The 16576-nt window shown below is 41.0% G+C and overlaps 1 annotated feature.

Annotated features, from left to right (window-relative positions):
* Positions 6905 to 16576: part of a non allelic homologous recombination region, noted in NCBI's record as "15q13.2 beta inversion distal recombination region, recombines with the 15q13.2 beta inversion proximal recombination region", that runs on past the window's edge. NCBI's record gives the evidence for it as "EXISTENCE:nucleotide sequencing assay evidence [ECO:0000219][PMID:25326701]".

The raw sequence follows: 16576 nt of genomic DNA on the forward strand, positions 1-16576 counted from the left end.
CCATGTTGGCCAGGATGGTCTCGATCTCCTGACCTTGTGATCCACCCGCCTTGGCCTCCCAAAGTGCTGGGATTACAGGCATGAGCCACCATGCCCCACCTTTTTTTTCTTTTCTTTTTTTTTTTCTTTCTTTCTTTCTTTTTTTTTTTTTTTTGTTAGTCCTTCCCTCCAGTGTCGTGGAGATAATTGGAAAATATTTTAGAGCAAAAAAGTTTATTTCTCCTTCTTGTTGTTAGCAAAGAAATTTATTTTTCCTTCTTGTTATTTATTGGCCTTGGAGACATACACCAAATAGCTCATTCTACTTCTGAAATTTTGTTTTGATTTCCCTGGCCCTCCCCACGAAGTATTTCAGATTAGCAGGGAGTCAAGCATTGTCTGTCTGTCTGTGAATAAAATATTTCAGGCTGCTTTTGCATAATATACATGCTCTTGCCTTTACGAGTCACACTCACATCTTCTGGTTTTGTAAGACACCAGGTAGAGAAGAAAACAATGTTTCTGAATTCTGCTTTATCAGCCCAGTAGAGAACTCCTCCCTTCCCTGAACTGAGGGCCACATCTAAGGGGTTGAAACAGGGCCAGTTACATTCTATGTTCCCAACATAATTGTCCATGCACGGATCCGATCAAGTTAAATGAGAAATAGGATATTTATTCTAAAAACAAGTTATTGCTACAATAATAATAATACTATAGTAATATTATTATTCTAATAATGATATTAGAATAAAAACTGGTTATTAAAGTACTAAACAGTTGAAAATCTAAATGTCTCACAAGGTCAACTATAGCAAGTATATAAGATTTCGTATTAGTCGCACGTCAAAAATTATATCCATAAAAGTAATGACATATGAAAACAGTTTATTGATACAGATATAACAAATATAACTAAACTGTGCTGAAATGTATTTTAAAATAAAATATGCCAAAATATTATTGATGATGACTTTGGATGATGGTATTACCACTAAGGTTTCAAATTTAATTTGCCTCTTACTTCTGAGTACTTTTATAAATTTTTAAATAATAAAATTAGTGTGTTAAAAAATATCAAGTGATATCTAGAAATCAGAAAAAGGCATATTGCCAGAGGAGGACCGAGTTAGTAGATTTGAGGCTCCATTAAGTTTTGTTTATGATCAAAAAACAAACAAAAACCAGGCAACAGTGGCAAAAAATATCTCACTTCCTTCCTGGAAAAGTAAATGAGACTACAAAGAATTTCCAAACTTAAAAACTATACATTTCAAGTCTGTTCATAACTAGTGAAGTCACAGTTTCTGAAAACAATGATAAAATTTTAATTGATATTTAATTCATATTTTTTGTTTAAAAAACTATCAGTATTGGAAGATAAATTTCATGGGAAAAGCATTGAATCATTAAGTTTTGCAGTCACAAAGGTAAATATAATTTGCTTAATGCTGCCCTCAGTTTACAATGAGTCTTTAGTATTTTCTAAGCTATGAGTTCACCAAAATATAGGATTGTTTTGCTGCATATAATTTGCTCAGTGATCAAACACTAAGGAGTTACCTATGTTAAGATGTGAATAATAAATTTATGCAAAATTTATGAAAGTGTACATTGTAAAGACAATAAAACTTTCCATTAAATTGGTGGGAAAGGAGCTCAAAACCTAGCTGGGTGATTCATTATTTTAATGACTTCCTGCTTTACTGCAAAACCTCTCTCTTCATTCGGTGTTGGTAGTTTGAACCCCTGTTAAGGATATAGGCTCACAATGAAGCTTCTATAAATTTCTGGACCTCTGTCATGCTGGCATGTATGTCATTCTCCTTTAGGAATGATGAAGAGACTGGAAAGCGGTTGCTCCAAGGGAAGGGATAATTTTGCAAACCTGAGCTGTCTAAGCTCAGCATGAATTGGAGTGGGCTGCTGACTCAGGCTAGCAGAGGCAGCCAGGAAACATGCAAATCTGCAATCCGTTCTGCCAGGTCTGTCGCAGCAGGTGTCACTAAAGGCACCCCTGTGTGCTTGTCACTGTGGCAGCCTTGACAAGGAAGGTGGAAAGGAAAAAGAGACCCAGTGCTGAACTCCAAGCAGAGATGGGGCTTTTCTCTATGCATATTTTCCCTCCCCTCCCAGCCTGCATTTCCAATAACATATTGATTTATATTTGTATTATGAAACAAAAGTGGTTGTAATCAGATGTTCTTTCCTTTTACACACAATGTTAGCTCCTATTTACATTCCTAACTGAACAATGTCTAAAGAGGTATTTAAACTGATGTAAAACGCAGATAATCTCATGACCAAATGCTTAGCGCAAGAAAAAACTTCAATTTGCAAGAGAAGTCCCTCCAAATACAGAAAGGACCAGTATTGTAAGAGGTACCTTAACTAAAATGTAGCAATGTAAGGCGCAGAGCAGGAAGAACTTTTAAGTCTGAAACTTACAACAAGTCAATTTCATAGTCAGTTTCCCTGGGCCTTCCACAACAGCCTCCGGCACCTGTTTTCTCTACAATGGAGGTAACAATAGTAGCTATTTCAGAGCAGGAAAAGGCTTAGAGCAGTGCTAGAAGAGGGTCGTGGCTATATAAAGTTTAGCTATTTGTATATTGTAAGAAACCAACGATGTGTTCTTTTATCGGTAGTCAGTAATGGATTTCTTGTGGGAAAGTAGCAGCCTCCTATGGGGGGAACACCCGCAGGTCCCACTAAGTGAACACTGGTGTCTGCTAACCTTTGCCTCTATTTGTCGCAATAATATACTGTCAAGCTGTTCCTTGAGTTAGCAATTTTATTTACATTCTTTTTTTTTTCCTTTCCCTTTTCCTGCCACAGAGTCCCGCTCTGTCGCCCAGTCTGGAGTGCAGCAGCGCCATCATAGCTCACTGCCACCTAGAAGCCGGGGTGAAGCAATCCTCCTCCATCAGCCTTCAGAGTAGCTGGGACTACCTGCGCGGCCCACCACACCCGGCTAATCTTTGTGGTTTTTGTTTTGTTTTCCGTTCTGGGTTTCCGTCGGGCGCAGTGGCTCAGGCCTGCAATCCCAGCACTTTGGAAGGCAGAGGTGGGCGGATCACCCGAGGTCGGAGACCAGCCTGACCAACATGAAGAAATCCCGTCTCTACTAAAAAAAAGAAAAAAACTACAAAATTAGCCGGATATGGTGGCTCATGCCTGTAATCCCAGCTACTAGGGAGGCCCAGGCAGGAGAATCACCTAAATCCGGGAGGCCGAGGTTGCGGTGGGCAAAGATCACACCATTGCACTCCAGCCTGGACAACAAGGGTGAAACTCCATCTCAAAACAGAGACCGGGTTTCACCATGTTGCCCAGGCGGTCTGGAACTCCTAGGCTCAAGCGATCTGCCACACTCGGCCTTCCAAAGTCCTGGGATCACAAGGGGGAGGCACCACGCCAGGCCGATCTATTCCTTTCTGGTTACTAAATTGGACCGGGGGCGCGGTGGCTCACGCCTGCAATCCCAGCACCCAGGGAGGCGGAGGCGGGCGTATCACTTGAGGTCAGGAGCTCGAGATCAGCCCGACCAACACGGAGAAACCCCGTCTGTACCAAAAAAATAAAACCAAAATTAGCTGGCATGGTGGCTCATGCCTGCAATCCCAGACACTCAGGAGGCTGAGGCAGGAGAACCACCTAAACCCGGGAGGTGGAGGCCGCGGTGAGTCGAGACCACGCCACTGCACTCCAGCCTGCAAAACGAGCGAAACTCCACTCAAAAAAAAAAAAAAAAGACAGTGTTTCACCACGTTGCCCAGGCCGGTCTGGAAGTCCTAGGCTCAATCGATCGCCGCGCTCGGCCGTCCACAGTACTGGGATCACAAGCATGAGCTACCACGCCAGGCCGATCTATTCCTTTCTGGTTACTAAATTGGACCGGGGGCGCGGTGGCTCACGCCTGCAATCCCAGCACCCAGGGAGGCGGAGGCGGGCGGATCACCCGAGGTCAGGAGCTTGAGATCAGCCCGGCCAACACGGAGAAACCCCGTCTGTACAAAAAAAAAACCACCAAAATTAGCTGGCATGGTGGCTCATGCCTGCAATCCCAGCCACTCAGGAGGCTTAGGCAGGAGAACCACCTAACCGGGAGGTGGAGGCCGCGGTGAGTCGAGACCGGAAAACACTCTAGCCTGGAAAACAAGAGCGAAACTCCGCTCAAAAAAAAAAAAAAAAAAAAAAAAAAGACCGTGTTTCACCATGTCGTCCAGGCTGGTCTGGAACTCCTAGAACCTGTAGATGTTACCTCATTTGGAAAAAGCATATTTTCAGGTATGATTAAGTTAAGGATCTTGAGGAGAGATTATCCTGGATTGTCTCCGTGGGCATTAAATCCTGGCACATATATCCTTATAAGAGGGAGATAAAGGAGATTTAACTTCAGACAGAAGAGAAGGAGGCCCTGTGACCAAGAAGGCAGAGCCTGGAGTGGTGGAGCTGCAAGTCAATGAATGCCAGCAGCCATCAGAAGCTGCGCAAGTCAAAGGATGGATTTTCCCCTCAGCCTCTGAGAGCACTGGCTCTGCTGAGACCTAGATTTCAGCCCAGTGATACTGATTTTGGACTTCTGATATCCAAAACTGTGAGAAAATAAATTTCTGTTGTTTTAAGTCACCACATTTTTGGTAATTTGCTCTAACAGCCACAGGAAAGTAACATACATGCCTACCTGGGTCCAGTTGTGTCCTGTGACTCCTGCTTTCCTGGGACAGGCAGGCTGCTCCGTGCCTCCTGGCCATCCTACTGGGTGCTGGACGCTGTAGGCTGCTCCATGCCTGTTGGCCATTCCCTTTGGTGCTGGACAGCACTCACATTGTGAAATCCACTGGCCCTGTGAAAAACACCTGGAAATGTTACCAGGAGAGGGGTTAGTTCTCTTTTTGGCAACCCATGTTATTGCTTATGGCTTAATATCTGTGCCTCCAAGATCCCTTCTCTCTGCCTTCATCGATGCCAGGAAAGCAGTCACCTTTTGCCTTTCTTTGCTTCTCAGCAAGTGGCATGTCTCCATGTCACTTTAAGCATCAAGCACACGGAGCCCAATAAGATGCTGAAAAGTGTCTGCCTACAAGGTTACAAGGTGGTGGAGACATTCTGAGCCGGTAACTGCAGGGCTCAGTAAAACCGCTACAGGAAATCTCAAGTTCAAAATGCTGAAGTGAAAAATGGGTGATCACAACGAAGGGAAACACAAACCCCTTCTTTTAAAAACATTATGGTGATAAGGCACAACATAAAATTTACCATATTAGCCACTTGTAAGTATACAGTGCAGTAGTGTTAAAAATATACATGTTGAGTAACGAGTTTCTAGAACTTGCTTCTCTTGGAGAACTGAAACTATAGCCACTATACAACAACTCCCCATTTCTCTATCCCCTGGCTTATGGAAACAACCGCTCTATTTTCTGTTTCTATGAGTTTGACTAATTTCGAACCTAATGTAAGAGAAATTGTACAGCATTTGTCTTTGTGTGATGGGCTGATTTCAATTAGTGTAATGTTTTCAAGGTTCATCTATATTGCAGCATGTGACAGGGCTTCTTTCTTTTTTAAGGCTGATAATTTTATAGTATTCCGTTGCATGGATAGACCACATTTATTTATTCATTTATTTATTTATTTATTTACTTATTTATTTATTGAGACAATCTCACTCTGTTGCCCAGGCTGGAGTGCGGTGGCATGATCATGGCTCACTGCAGTCTGAATCTCACATTCTCAAGCGATCCTGCCGCCTCAGCCTCCTGAGTAGCTGGGACTACAGGCACATGACACCATGCCTGGATATTCGTCTTTCTGTGTAACTGGTTGAGAAACAGGGGAGTAACAGTGAAGAAACGGTCTTAGAATAAATCTGGTGACAGCAGAAGAGAATATGAGACAGATTGTGCTCACAGAGCCTTGAAGAGTGTGACAGTATTTGAGGGCCACGCTGTTGTCTTAGAGTGAAGTGAGGAGAACCTGCACTGGTTTGGTAGTCATGGGAATGGAAGGAGGAAAGAAATGTGAAAGCTCATCGGTGGCAGAGTCAAAATGGCTTGGTCTTTGTAGTCAACGATTAAGTGAGAAGGAGGAATTACTGGCTGACTTAGAAGAAGTAAAAAATGTGAAATACTGATAAAACACAAATCTCGTGATTTTAGTTAGCGTAAAGACTAAGCATTGTGTGATTCTAGATATATTATTAAGCAGTTTTGTTCCAGTATTTTATATCCCATATCTTCTAGCTATGACCCTATTTCTTTGTTTCTTGACATAGACAAACATTTTTTAAACTAAGAGCTTTATTGTGATACAGTTTTTGTATGATAAGCCTCACCCTTCAAGTGTACAGTTCAGTGGTTTTTAGTATATTCAGAGTTATGCAGCCATTACCACTCCCTAATTTCAGAACATTTTCATCTCCCCAAAAAGAACCCCGTACCCACTAGCAGTCACTCCCTGTACCTCTCTCCCCCACCATTGATCCTGGCAACCTCTGATCTAACTTCTATCTCTGTAGATTTGCCTATCCTGGGCATTTCATATAAATAGAATCATACAACAGTGGCATTTTGTGACTGATTTTTCTTTACAGTGATTATAAATCAAATGCCTGAAGACGCTAAGCTTAGGATAGTGTTTGCTGTACAACTTTGATAACTGAACTTTTGTAAAGCTGAAAATGTGACTGTGTCTGTATATGTGGCATATTATCCTTAGATGATCCTTACTTCGATTATTAAGAATTTTTTCCCCTAGTAATCTTCAACTGTCTCAATATTCAGCAGGAACCCCTTGGAGACAAAGATCAGTACGAATTTGGAACACCTATTCACAAAATGAATGTAATTTAATTTAGTACAGTAGTAAAGTCAACCACTTTTAGGTGTTGATGCTGCTGAAAGTGTATATTAAGGAAAAGTTTACTTACCTTACTTTTTGTGGAGGTGCTAGAACTACTTCTGTCTTGTGTTTAGATTTCAAGAAACCTTTGCATGGGCATTATGTGGTTGCACAAATGTACTTCGTTTTGACCTGAAAATGCAAAAACTTCCTTTCTTCCCACTTTCTGAGACTCTGCAACCTTAAAGGAAGAGTGGGGTTCTTTAAAGGAAAGGTGGTGGTGGTTGGGTCATGGGTAACAATGTCTACTGTGTACTTCCTTTCCCAAAACAAGTCCCTGTCTACCGTCAGCATTTCCAAAATTTGAAGGTCAAGTGTGGTGTTAACTCATGAACTAATGACTAGACTTTGAGCGGTTGTGGAAGCAAAATCTCAGTGAGTGCCTGGATGTTCTAATTCTGTTAAGTCAGTGAGTGCATATTCTGTACAATACTCTCTTAGCCCAGTGGCAGGTTTAAGGAGTGGGAGAGAGATTTCTATGTTTCGGAAATCAGATACACAAAGAATAAAAATTTTTAATCCCATGAATCTTTGCCCGAGTTTAATTTCTTGGAGAGTTTTTCTTTTAGATTTTCTTTCCCTTCCATTAAACTTTTACTTAGAAAGGTCCCAGGGTTTGGGCAAAGCAAGTGGGAAAGACACTTGCTTGGGTTCTCCAGGATAAGGGATTGAAGAGGACTTCTTTCCCTCATTTTATTATTGAATAATGTCACAATAACAATTATTAAGGTGAATAGTCTACAGTGGAAGTGTTTAGATGCCTTGTCTGCAAAATAACTTGGTTTAGTCAACCCAAGGATGCCTTTGGTTAGCTGGAATGGGAGATGTGCAGGTTAGAGTGGTCTTGGCAAGTCTTCCAGGGGGAAATACAGCATTTGGAAGGGTAGGAAGCAGAAGGAATCTCAGGCAAGGGAAAGGCGTGGGCAGAGCCCCGGAGGACAGAACAGGTTGTGGTGGACTTGGTGTCCACATAGACCTAATTAGTGGTCTTAGCTTTTGTGTTTTCAAAATTACCACAGTTTGTGTTCTAAAACTGTCATTCTCTTGATTTTATTTTAGACATACTATCTGTGTATTTTGAAATTTAAAATAACAGTAAAGGAGAAACGAATTTATTTTGTTTGAGAAAGAGTTAAAAGGTTAAAACATCTTGATCTTAATAATTTTCTAATGGGAGATTTGGTACACCCCCAGAAGTTGTCTTTGGTTCAGAGAATAGTGTTCAGATCTAGAAAGGACTTGAGAAGTCCCAGAGAGGTGCTGCATGGTCTGAACCATTTGATTCTCACGACAGAATGGATAAAAACAATTTGAACCAGGAAACCATGCAGATGTTCATATTTTGGATAGGGTAAGGTCAGTGCCGTCGTCAGAGGAAAAACTCTTGGCCATCACAGGATGGGAGAGAAAGTTTGAGTTGTGAAGAATACTCAAATGCCGTTTAAGGAAACGGGTTCTTCTGCACCTATTCTTTGGAATATTTAGGGCTAAGTTCTTAGTTTTTGACATCATAAAAATGTCAAAGTATTCTGTTCTAAGAGCCATTTCAAACAACTGACTAGAATTTCAGAGCAATTACATGAGAGTAATACCATTAAAATGTTTAAATTACCCATAGTCCTATATCCCTAACAAGTATGTTCACGCTTGCATGTTCTCTTCTCATCTTTACTGTGTGCATACTTTCTTAGTAATGGCACGTAGACATTGTTTAAGCAGGAATAATTCTCGAGATAATTTTGTATGTTTCCTTTTTTCTTTTTAAGGTAGGTATTGGGTGGAGGAGCATTATATTTGCAACTTCTCGCAAAACACGTGATTATTTTCTTATAATATTCAATTTTCACCCTCAATAGAGTGTTTTGATTATGTAAGTTAGACAGAAAGTAGAAGGTTCTCTTAGAGAAATTTTAGTGTTTTTTTTTCATAGCTCCTACTTTCAAGAATGAAAAAGGTAAACCAGTAAAATGACACTGTACTTGGTGCTGCATCTATGCTGGGATAGGCATTAAGAGTGACCTTTATTTAAGGTTCTAATTTGCTCATGTTGGGCACTTAGAACGTCAGTTTGTTGCTTTTTGTGAGATTTTGGAAATGGTCCAATTTTACTTTTTCCCCTTGACTCCAGACTTTTTAACACTGATCTGCTGCTGTTGAGGCATATGCCGTTTTGTTAGGCCTCCTCAAGTGGGAGTCAGGAATGCTGCTGTGTTCCAGAGAGGTTTTGTTCTTCCTGTAGGGCTGAAGCAGTGCCTACTCAATAAAACCAGTCATCGTGCAAAGAAATGCCACCTGACTCAAAGGCAAAGCCAGAGTGCAGCTTGGAGCAAAGAAGGTATTTTATTAAGAATTTTACATAAACCATAAGATATATTTTATATTACTTTGCGAGCCTTCTTCCTGTCTTGACTTAATTCTTTTTGAGAGAATTCATTTCATTTTCATTTGGTTGGTTTTCTTCTTGTTACAAAGATGATCTATAGAAAATATAGAAGTATAAGAAAATTAAAGATACTAACTGATAATTGCTTAATGATTTAGTATCTGCTTGTTTAGTCTTTGTTATATTTACAGTAGGCAAACATGTCTACCGTTGTGAATTTATTACTGGTATGTATACCCTAGTAAGTTAAAAGTTGTACGTACTTTGAAGTTTTGCAAAATTGAGTTCATATTATAGAATTAATTCCTGATGAAATTTTATGTGCTAGGCACTGGTCTTTTTATTTAATTATTTATTTTTACTTTTTTTTCCTCTGTGCCTATGCTTACCAAGTCTTTTTATTTTTTACTTTTTATTAACTCTTTTAATCCTCTGGATAAATTAAAAAGAGGGTATTATTAATATCTGCATTTTGTAGATGAGGTAACTGAAGGTAGGTAACTTGTCCAAGGTCACAGGTGGCAGAGCAAGGATTAAAACTAGACAGTCTGGCTGCCCAAGGCCCAACGAAGAGGAGCTGAGAGCAAGCCACCGGGCAGAAGGATGTTGGTCAGGCTGGTTTCCTGTTCAGTTAACATGAAACGCAGGCTTAACCTTAATTCTAGGACGTTACCGAGAAAGCCTTCCAAAGCCATAGGTTTTTTACCATGACCATGACTTCTTTTTTTTTTTTTTTGAGACAGAGTCTCACTGTGTAGCCCAGGCTGGAGTGCAGTGGCGCGATCTCGGTTCACTGCAGCCTACCTCTCTTGACAGTCCACTGGTTAAAGTGATTCTCCTGCCTCAGCCTCCCGAGTAGCTGAAATTACAGGCGCCGGCCACCACGCCTGGCTAGCTTTTGTGTTTTTAGTAGAGACGGGGTTTCACCGTGTTGGCCAGGCTGGTCTTGAACTCATGACCTCAAATGACCCACCTCTGCCTCCCAAAGTGCTGGGATTCCAGGCGTGAGCCACCGTGCCAGGACCCAAGGCCCTTAAGTTTTAACGTCTCATTCTTCAGTCAGGTTTTCCTTGTTCCTGCGTGTTCAGCCATTTGTTTTTAAGTTTGTGTTGAAGGAGAAACTAACAACGAAAATGGACTTGTTGACGGAAGAAAAGTAGGAATGCAGCCTCTGGTGCTGTTTGAGTGATCCCTCTGCCCCAGGCCTGGCTGCGCGCTGCTGTGTTCTGGAAAGGCGCATTGTGCCCTCGCTGTGGCAGGTAAGAGTCCTGTACAGGTGCTCTGCCCACTTTACCTTTCAGGCTTCTGTATCAGCTGTTTTTCCCTTGTAGAATGTGCCCCTGACCTGTGCCCCTGACTTCCACCCCTTAACCCTGCCCAATACATCTTTACATGTCTGACCATCAAGACTCTTCTGGGTCATATTCAGTTCATGCTGATATTTTCCCTTCCTCCCCTCTTTAGTCCTTACTATTTTTGCTTTGGTCATGTTATGCTATATTCTGTAAGCCTTTAAAAATTTTGTTGTATCATGGCAGGGGAGAATATTTTATAATTATGCTTTGTGCGTTTTATCTTCCACTCAATGAATGCTTGGTAAATATTTGTTTTATTGAGTATATGACCCTTTTCTAGCTATACCGTGAACAAAAATGTTAACTGCCTTGTACGTTAACTGCTAAGAATTTGTCAAAAGTGCAGAGATGACATCCAGAACTTGTCAGAATATTACAAAAAGGTCTCTAAGGGCATGATGGAGGTCTGTAAATTGACTTCATGTGAAAGAGTGTAAGAAGTGAAAATGTGAAGCATGACTGGAGAGCCGGAGTGATAAAGCAAGGGTCCCTTTCTCCAGATCCTTTGTAACAGTGTCATGTGACCTCTTCTAGATCATTCTGAAAGACAATGCCAGCTCGGAACCTAGGAAAGCATCCAGTGGGTTTCTGCATGTTAGGTGGTTCAAATCCTCATTAGCACCTTTGTTTTCTCTGCCTCAGTTTGCTTACAGTGATGTTCTCAGTAGCTGTAATTGCTGTCTGTCTTTGAATATTTAAGCATTTTTTTTTTTAGATCACAGGGTATATGTGCATTTTTATTTTACCAAGTGTTAGAATTTTTACTCTGCCTTTGTGGGCTCTGGGTTAGCTACTTGGCTGTTTCATCGTAAAATGATTAGCAGGAAAAACTGTGTGTGTGTGTGTGTGTGTGTGTGTGCGCGCGTGTGTATTTTAAGTTTCTTAATTGGGTTGGTACATGTAAACCATTTAGAACAGTGCCTGCTGCATATCACATCCCCATCAGTATTCACGTCTCTCATATTCTACCCTCACACTTGATTGATAGTTTGCTTGATTACGTATTTCTAGGTTGAGGATAATTTTACCTTAGAATTTCAAAGTCTGTGCTGTTGTCTTCTAACCAGTCGTGGTGGCGAAGCCTCATGCCATCCTGAGTTTCACTTGTTTATGCATGACTTTCTCCCTGGAAGCTTTTAGGAGTTTGTCTTTTCCTTGGTGAGCTGAAATAGCACAACAGTGTACTTAGTGTGGGTCTTTTTTCATTCATTATGCTGGGTACACCAAATGAACAGGCCTATGGATAGGCTCTTTCAAAGTTGGAGTCTTGAATCTTGTCATATTTTTGTTGTTAACTTTCTCTTTTCCATTTTATTTGTTCATTTGGAAGTGTCTGTTAATTGGATTTTAGACCTCTTGTCTTGAGTCTTATATCTCACGTTATTTCTAAATGTTTTTTAAATTTTCAGTTCTGGAATATTTTCTTATCTTTCGACTTTCAGGAAATTTTATTTGGACTGTCATAACTTTAAGTTTTGTTTTGGTTATTTATTGTTGCTTAACCAATTATCCCAAAACCTAATGGCCTAAAACTACACATCTGTCTATCTGTCACGACTGTATGGATTACCTGGGGCTAGCTGGACAGTTTTTCTGCTGGTCTCATTTGGCAGCTCTCACTGTGTGGTTAAACAGTGTCAGGGACTGGTCATCTGGATGCTCAGCTGCAGTGGAATGTCTGAGACGGCTTCTTTACCCACAGGTCTGCTGCCTTGGTGATTCTTGATGTGGCCTTTCTCTCTGCATAGCATCTCATCCTCTCGGATCTCTTCATGTGGCTTTTCTTTCTCCAAGAAGGTAGCCAATTCTTATTTTTGGCTTCCAGAAGCACAGAAATGGAGCTGCCAGGAGTTCTTAAGGCTTAGACCTGGAACAGGTCCAGTGTCATTTCTACCACATGCTATAGGTTAAAGTGAGTGTTGGGGCCAACCCAGATTGACTATGGGATGGGCCTGTCTGAGGACATGATGACAGGAGGTATGGCTCATTGGAGACCAACTCCCAAGATGGAGCATGAGTTCTAAGAACTTTTTCTTCTCTGATTATTTCTTATTCATATTGTTTTGTTTTATACATGTAATATATTCACAAGTGTCTTTATGAAGTGATTTTGATACTCTTTGTCTTCTCCCTGGCATCTCCTTGTTCTTTAATAATTTTTTTCTTAGTTTATTTTGGTCTTATTTTTCTTTTTAAAGCCTTTCCTTAAATATCTATTCTATGTTGCTTATCATTTGTAGTCTTTTTTTTTTTTTTTTTTTGAGACCCAGTTTCGCTCTTGTTGCCTAGGCTGGAGTACAATGATGTGATCTTGGCTCACCACAACCTCTGCCTCCAAGGTTCAAGCAGTTCTCCTGCCTCAGCCTCCCAAGTAGCTGGGATTACAGGCATGTGCTACCACGCCCAGCTAATTTGTGTATTTTTAGTAGAGATGGGATTTCTCCATGTTGGTCAGTCTGGTCTGGAACTCCCAACCTCAGGTGATCCACCCACCTCGGCCTCCCAAAGTGCGGGATTACAGACATGAGCCACCGTGCCTGACCTGTAGTCTTTTTTCCATTCCTTTATTTGTTCATTCATATTTGAGAGAGGTACTAAAAGACTGGGAGCCGAGGTGTGGTGGCTCACACCTATAATCTCAGTGCTTTGGGAGACCGAAGTGGGAGGATCACTTGAGCCCAGGAGCTCAAGACTAGTTTGGGCAACATAGTGAGACCCCATCTTTACAAAAAAAAAAAAATAGCTAGGTGTGGTGACACCCATCTGCAGTCCCAGCTACTTGGGAGGCTGAGGCAGGAGGATTGCTTGAGCCCAGGAGGTTGAGGCTGCAGTGAGCTCTGATCATGCCACTGCATTCCTGCATTCCAACCTGGGCGAAAGAGCAAGACCCTGTCTCAAAATAAATAAATAAATAAATAAAAATAAAAATAAATAAAAATTGATTGGGAGTTCTTTGTGGCCAAGACTTGTCAACTGATAGCTTTAAGGGGAATGTATGCTGATTCCTAATTGTTATCCTCCATCCCTCTATCTTATCTCCTGTTGCAATCATAAATGATGGCTGGATGACTACTCCATTCCTCTGGATGTAAAATCTACATTCTCTTGCCTGAGGTGGATACGTTTGCTTGGGTTCTGTTTAAGGAGATGGGGCCAGCAGTGTGTTTCAGGGCCTGTGAAATGTGTTCTCTATCCGGGCTTTTGCTTAATCTCTGTTTTCAGTCTTGCCTATCAGTCCCACTGTCGGGGGTACCTCGTGTCTGAGTCTAGAACCTTTCCAGGTTGCTGTGGGACAGATTAGCCTCCTTGTTCTCAGTATCCCCCTGACCTCCACCTTTGTTGCTTTGCTCCATGAATTAACCATTTTCCATGTACTGTCATTGTCTAATGAAGATGAATTCTCTTCTGTTGGTAACCCCATTCCTTTTTTGTAATGGTGTGCTTATACAATGTTTATTCTTCACTGTATTTCTATTGGAGCCTCAGGACAAAGAGCAGATGGTGAGAATCTGTGTTCAGTGTTAAGTTTTCCTTCTGTAAGACATGTGCAACTTGTGTTTTTCACTGAATAGATCATGGACTTAATGCATATAGAGCTACTTTGTTTTTCATGATTGTGCCTTCAATTATATGTAGAAATATAATTTGTGAATTGCCTGATGAAATTTTCCTAATTTTGAATTATCTTTGCATTCCTATAATAAACACTGTTAGAATGGCTATGGTAATATTTTATTTTTGCATTTTTACTTCTGTATTAAATAAGATTATAGTTTTGTTTGTTTCCTTTAAGGCTGTTATTTCAGTATCAAGGGTATGCAGGGCTGAGTTGGGAAGCTTTACATCTTTTTTCTAAGATCTAGGATGTAGATCTGGTTTACACAGTAATTTTCAACTGCAGGAGTATTTTGCCTCCTATGGGACGTTTGGAAATATCTGGAGACATTTTTGTGGTCACAACTGGTCATGGTCGGGAGGTCTCATTGGCATTCTGTGGGTAGAGGGAATGTTACTAAATGCCCGACAACACACCAAGAGAACCCTCCACAAAGAATTATCTGGCCCAATATATCAATATTGCTGAGGATGACAAATTCTGGTTTAAATATCCAATTTGGAGGATGAGTCTTTGTCTTTTTCCTTCTTCTGCATATTGGTCTCCAGATTTCCCACTTCTTCAGTTACTTTTCGTAACTGTAGGTTCTTAAAAAAAAATGAACACTTTGGATGGGTGCGATGGCTCATGTCTGTAATCCCAGCACTTTGGGAGGCCGAGGCAGGTGGATCACGAGGTCAGGAGATAGAGACCATCCTGGCTAACATGGTGAAACCCTGTCTCTACTAAGCCAAAATACAAAAAATTAGCCAGGCGTGGTGGCGGGCGCTTGTAGTCCCAGCTACTCGGGAGGTTGAGGCAGGAGAATGTTGTGAACCCAGGAGGCGGAGCTTGCAGTGAGCCAAGATCACGCCACTGCACTCCAGCGTGGGTGACAGAGCGAGACTCCGTCTCAAAAAAAAAAAAAAAAAAAAAATGAACATGTCATCCATACTTCTAAGGTGTTGTAAAGATGTGTAAAGTTTTCACTTTTTGCATCATATTCACATGTGGCTATATGCCCTTTTCTCTTCAAAGTTTTCTTTATCTTGATTACTTATCAGAGGCTTGACTGTTTTATTATCTCAGTCTTTTGAAAGAATCCTCCTTTAGTTTTATTTTTTAAATCTAGTGGTTTTTCTTTTTCCTTAGGTCTTAATTATTTCCCCCTTTTTGTTTGTTTTGCTTTTCCTAGTTTAGTGGATCAATGTAATTTAAATTGCTTTTTAAACAAACGTGTAAGGGTATACATTTTCGTTGGCTGCTGTTTGACTTCGTTGCACAAGTTTTAAAATCTATTTTTTAATAGTTTGTATTTTCTAAATTATTTTATTGCATCTTTTGTTCACATTGCTCTTACTATTAATTTTTTATTTTAATTAATTAATTAATTAATTAATTAATTGAGATGGAGTCTTGCTCTGTAGCCCAGGCTGGAGTGCAGTGGCATGATCTTGGCTCACTGCAAGCTCCACCTCGGGGGTTCATGTCATTCTCCTGCCTCAGCCTCCCAAGTAGCTGAGACTACAGCTGCCTGCCACCACATCCGGCCTTTTTTGTATTTTTAGTAGAGATGGGGTTTCACCGTGTTAGCCAGGATGGTCTCGATCTCCTGACCTCATGATCCACCCACCTTGGGCTGTCAAAGTCCTGGAATTACAGGCATGAGCCACTGCACCCAGCCCAAAAGCTTTGTGCTTTTACAGATATTAGACATGTTTCTTGTTTAAGAAAAAAAATCTTAACGAAAACGTAGGAGAATAAGAGAAACATTTTTCCAAAAAAGAGAAATCATTGTGATTATTTTATCTTATTAGAATGTTGGATAATATAGTCTGCTTCATTAATCATCAAGCATGCTATGCATTTTCCATTTTTATAGGATCTGTATCTCAGTTAAGGTAATACTGGTAATTTTTGTACTGTAATCAAAGATGAAAAATATAGGCCAAAATCATAGACCTTGCATAGAAGCTGGATAATGAAGACAGCTATGGAGAAAAACATAGATACACACATATGGACACACATATATATAAAGTATACACACATATATTTTTTAAAGTTTTAAAGCTTTTAAAGCAAAAGCCAGCCCCTCTTCTCTTCCAGAGTGGGAGGCCTCTCCCCTCTCTTAGAGTGGGTGGGGAGAGCGGTTGCCACGGGCAGCTTTCCTTGTGAGCCACAGGGCCCTCTGGACACGCTGCTGTCTGGCCACGCCCCCTTTCCCTTTCATCTTTCTCATTGACCAATGGGCTTGGAGCATTAAGGCCACGCCCCTATTCCGCATTCTACTGGGGCCCTGGTTACGCCTCCTCTGGCTCAGTCACACAGCTGCCTGGTAGGTGACTGGAGGCCTTG

The sequence above is a fragment of the Homo sapiens genome, chromosome 15 (genome assembly GCF_000001405.40).
Source record: "Homo sapiens chromosome 15, GRCh38.p14 Primary Assembly".
In the NCBI taxonomy this organism is placed as follows: Eukaryota; Metazoa; Chordata; class Mammalia; order Primates; family Hominidae; genus Homo; species Homo sapiens.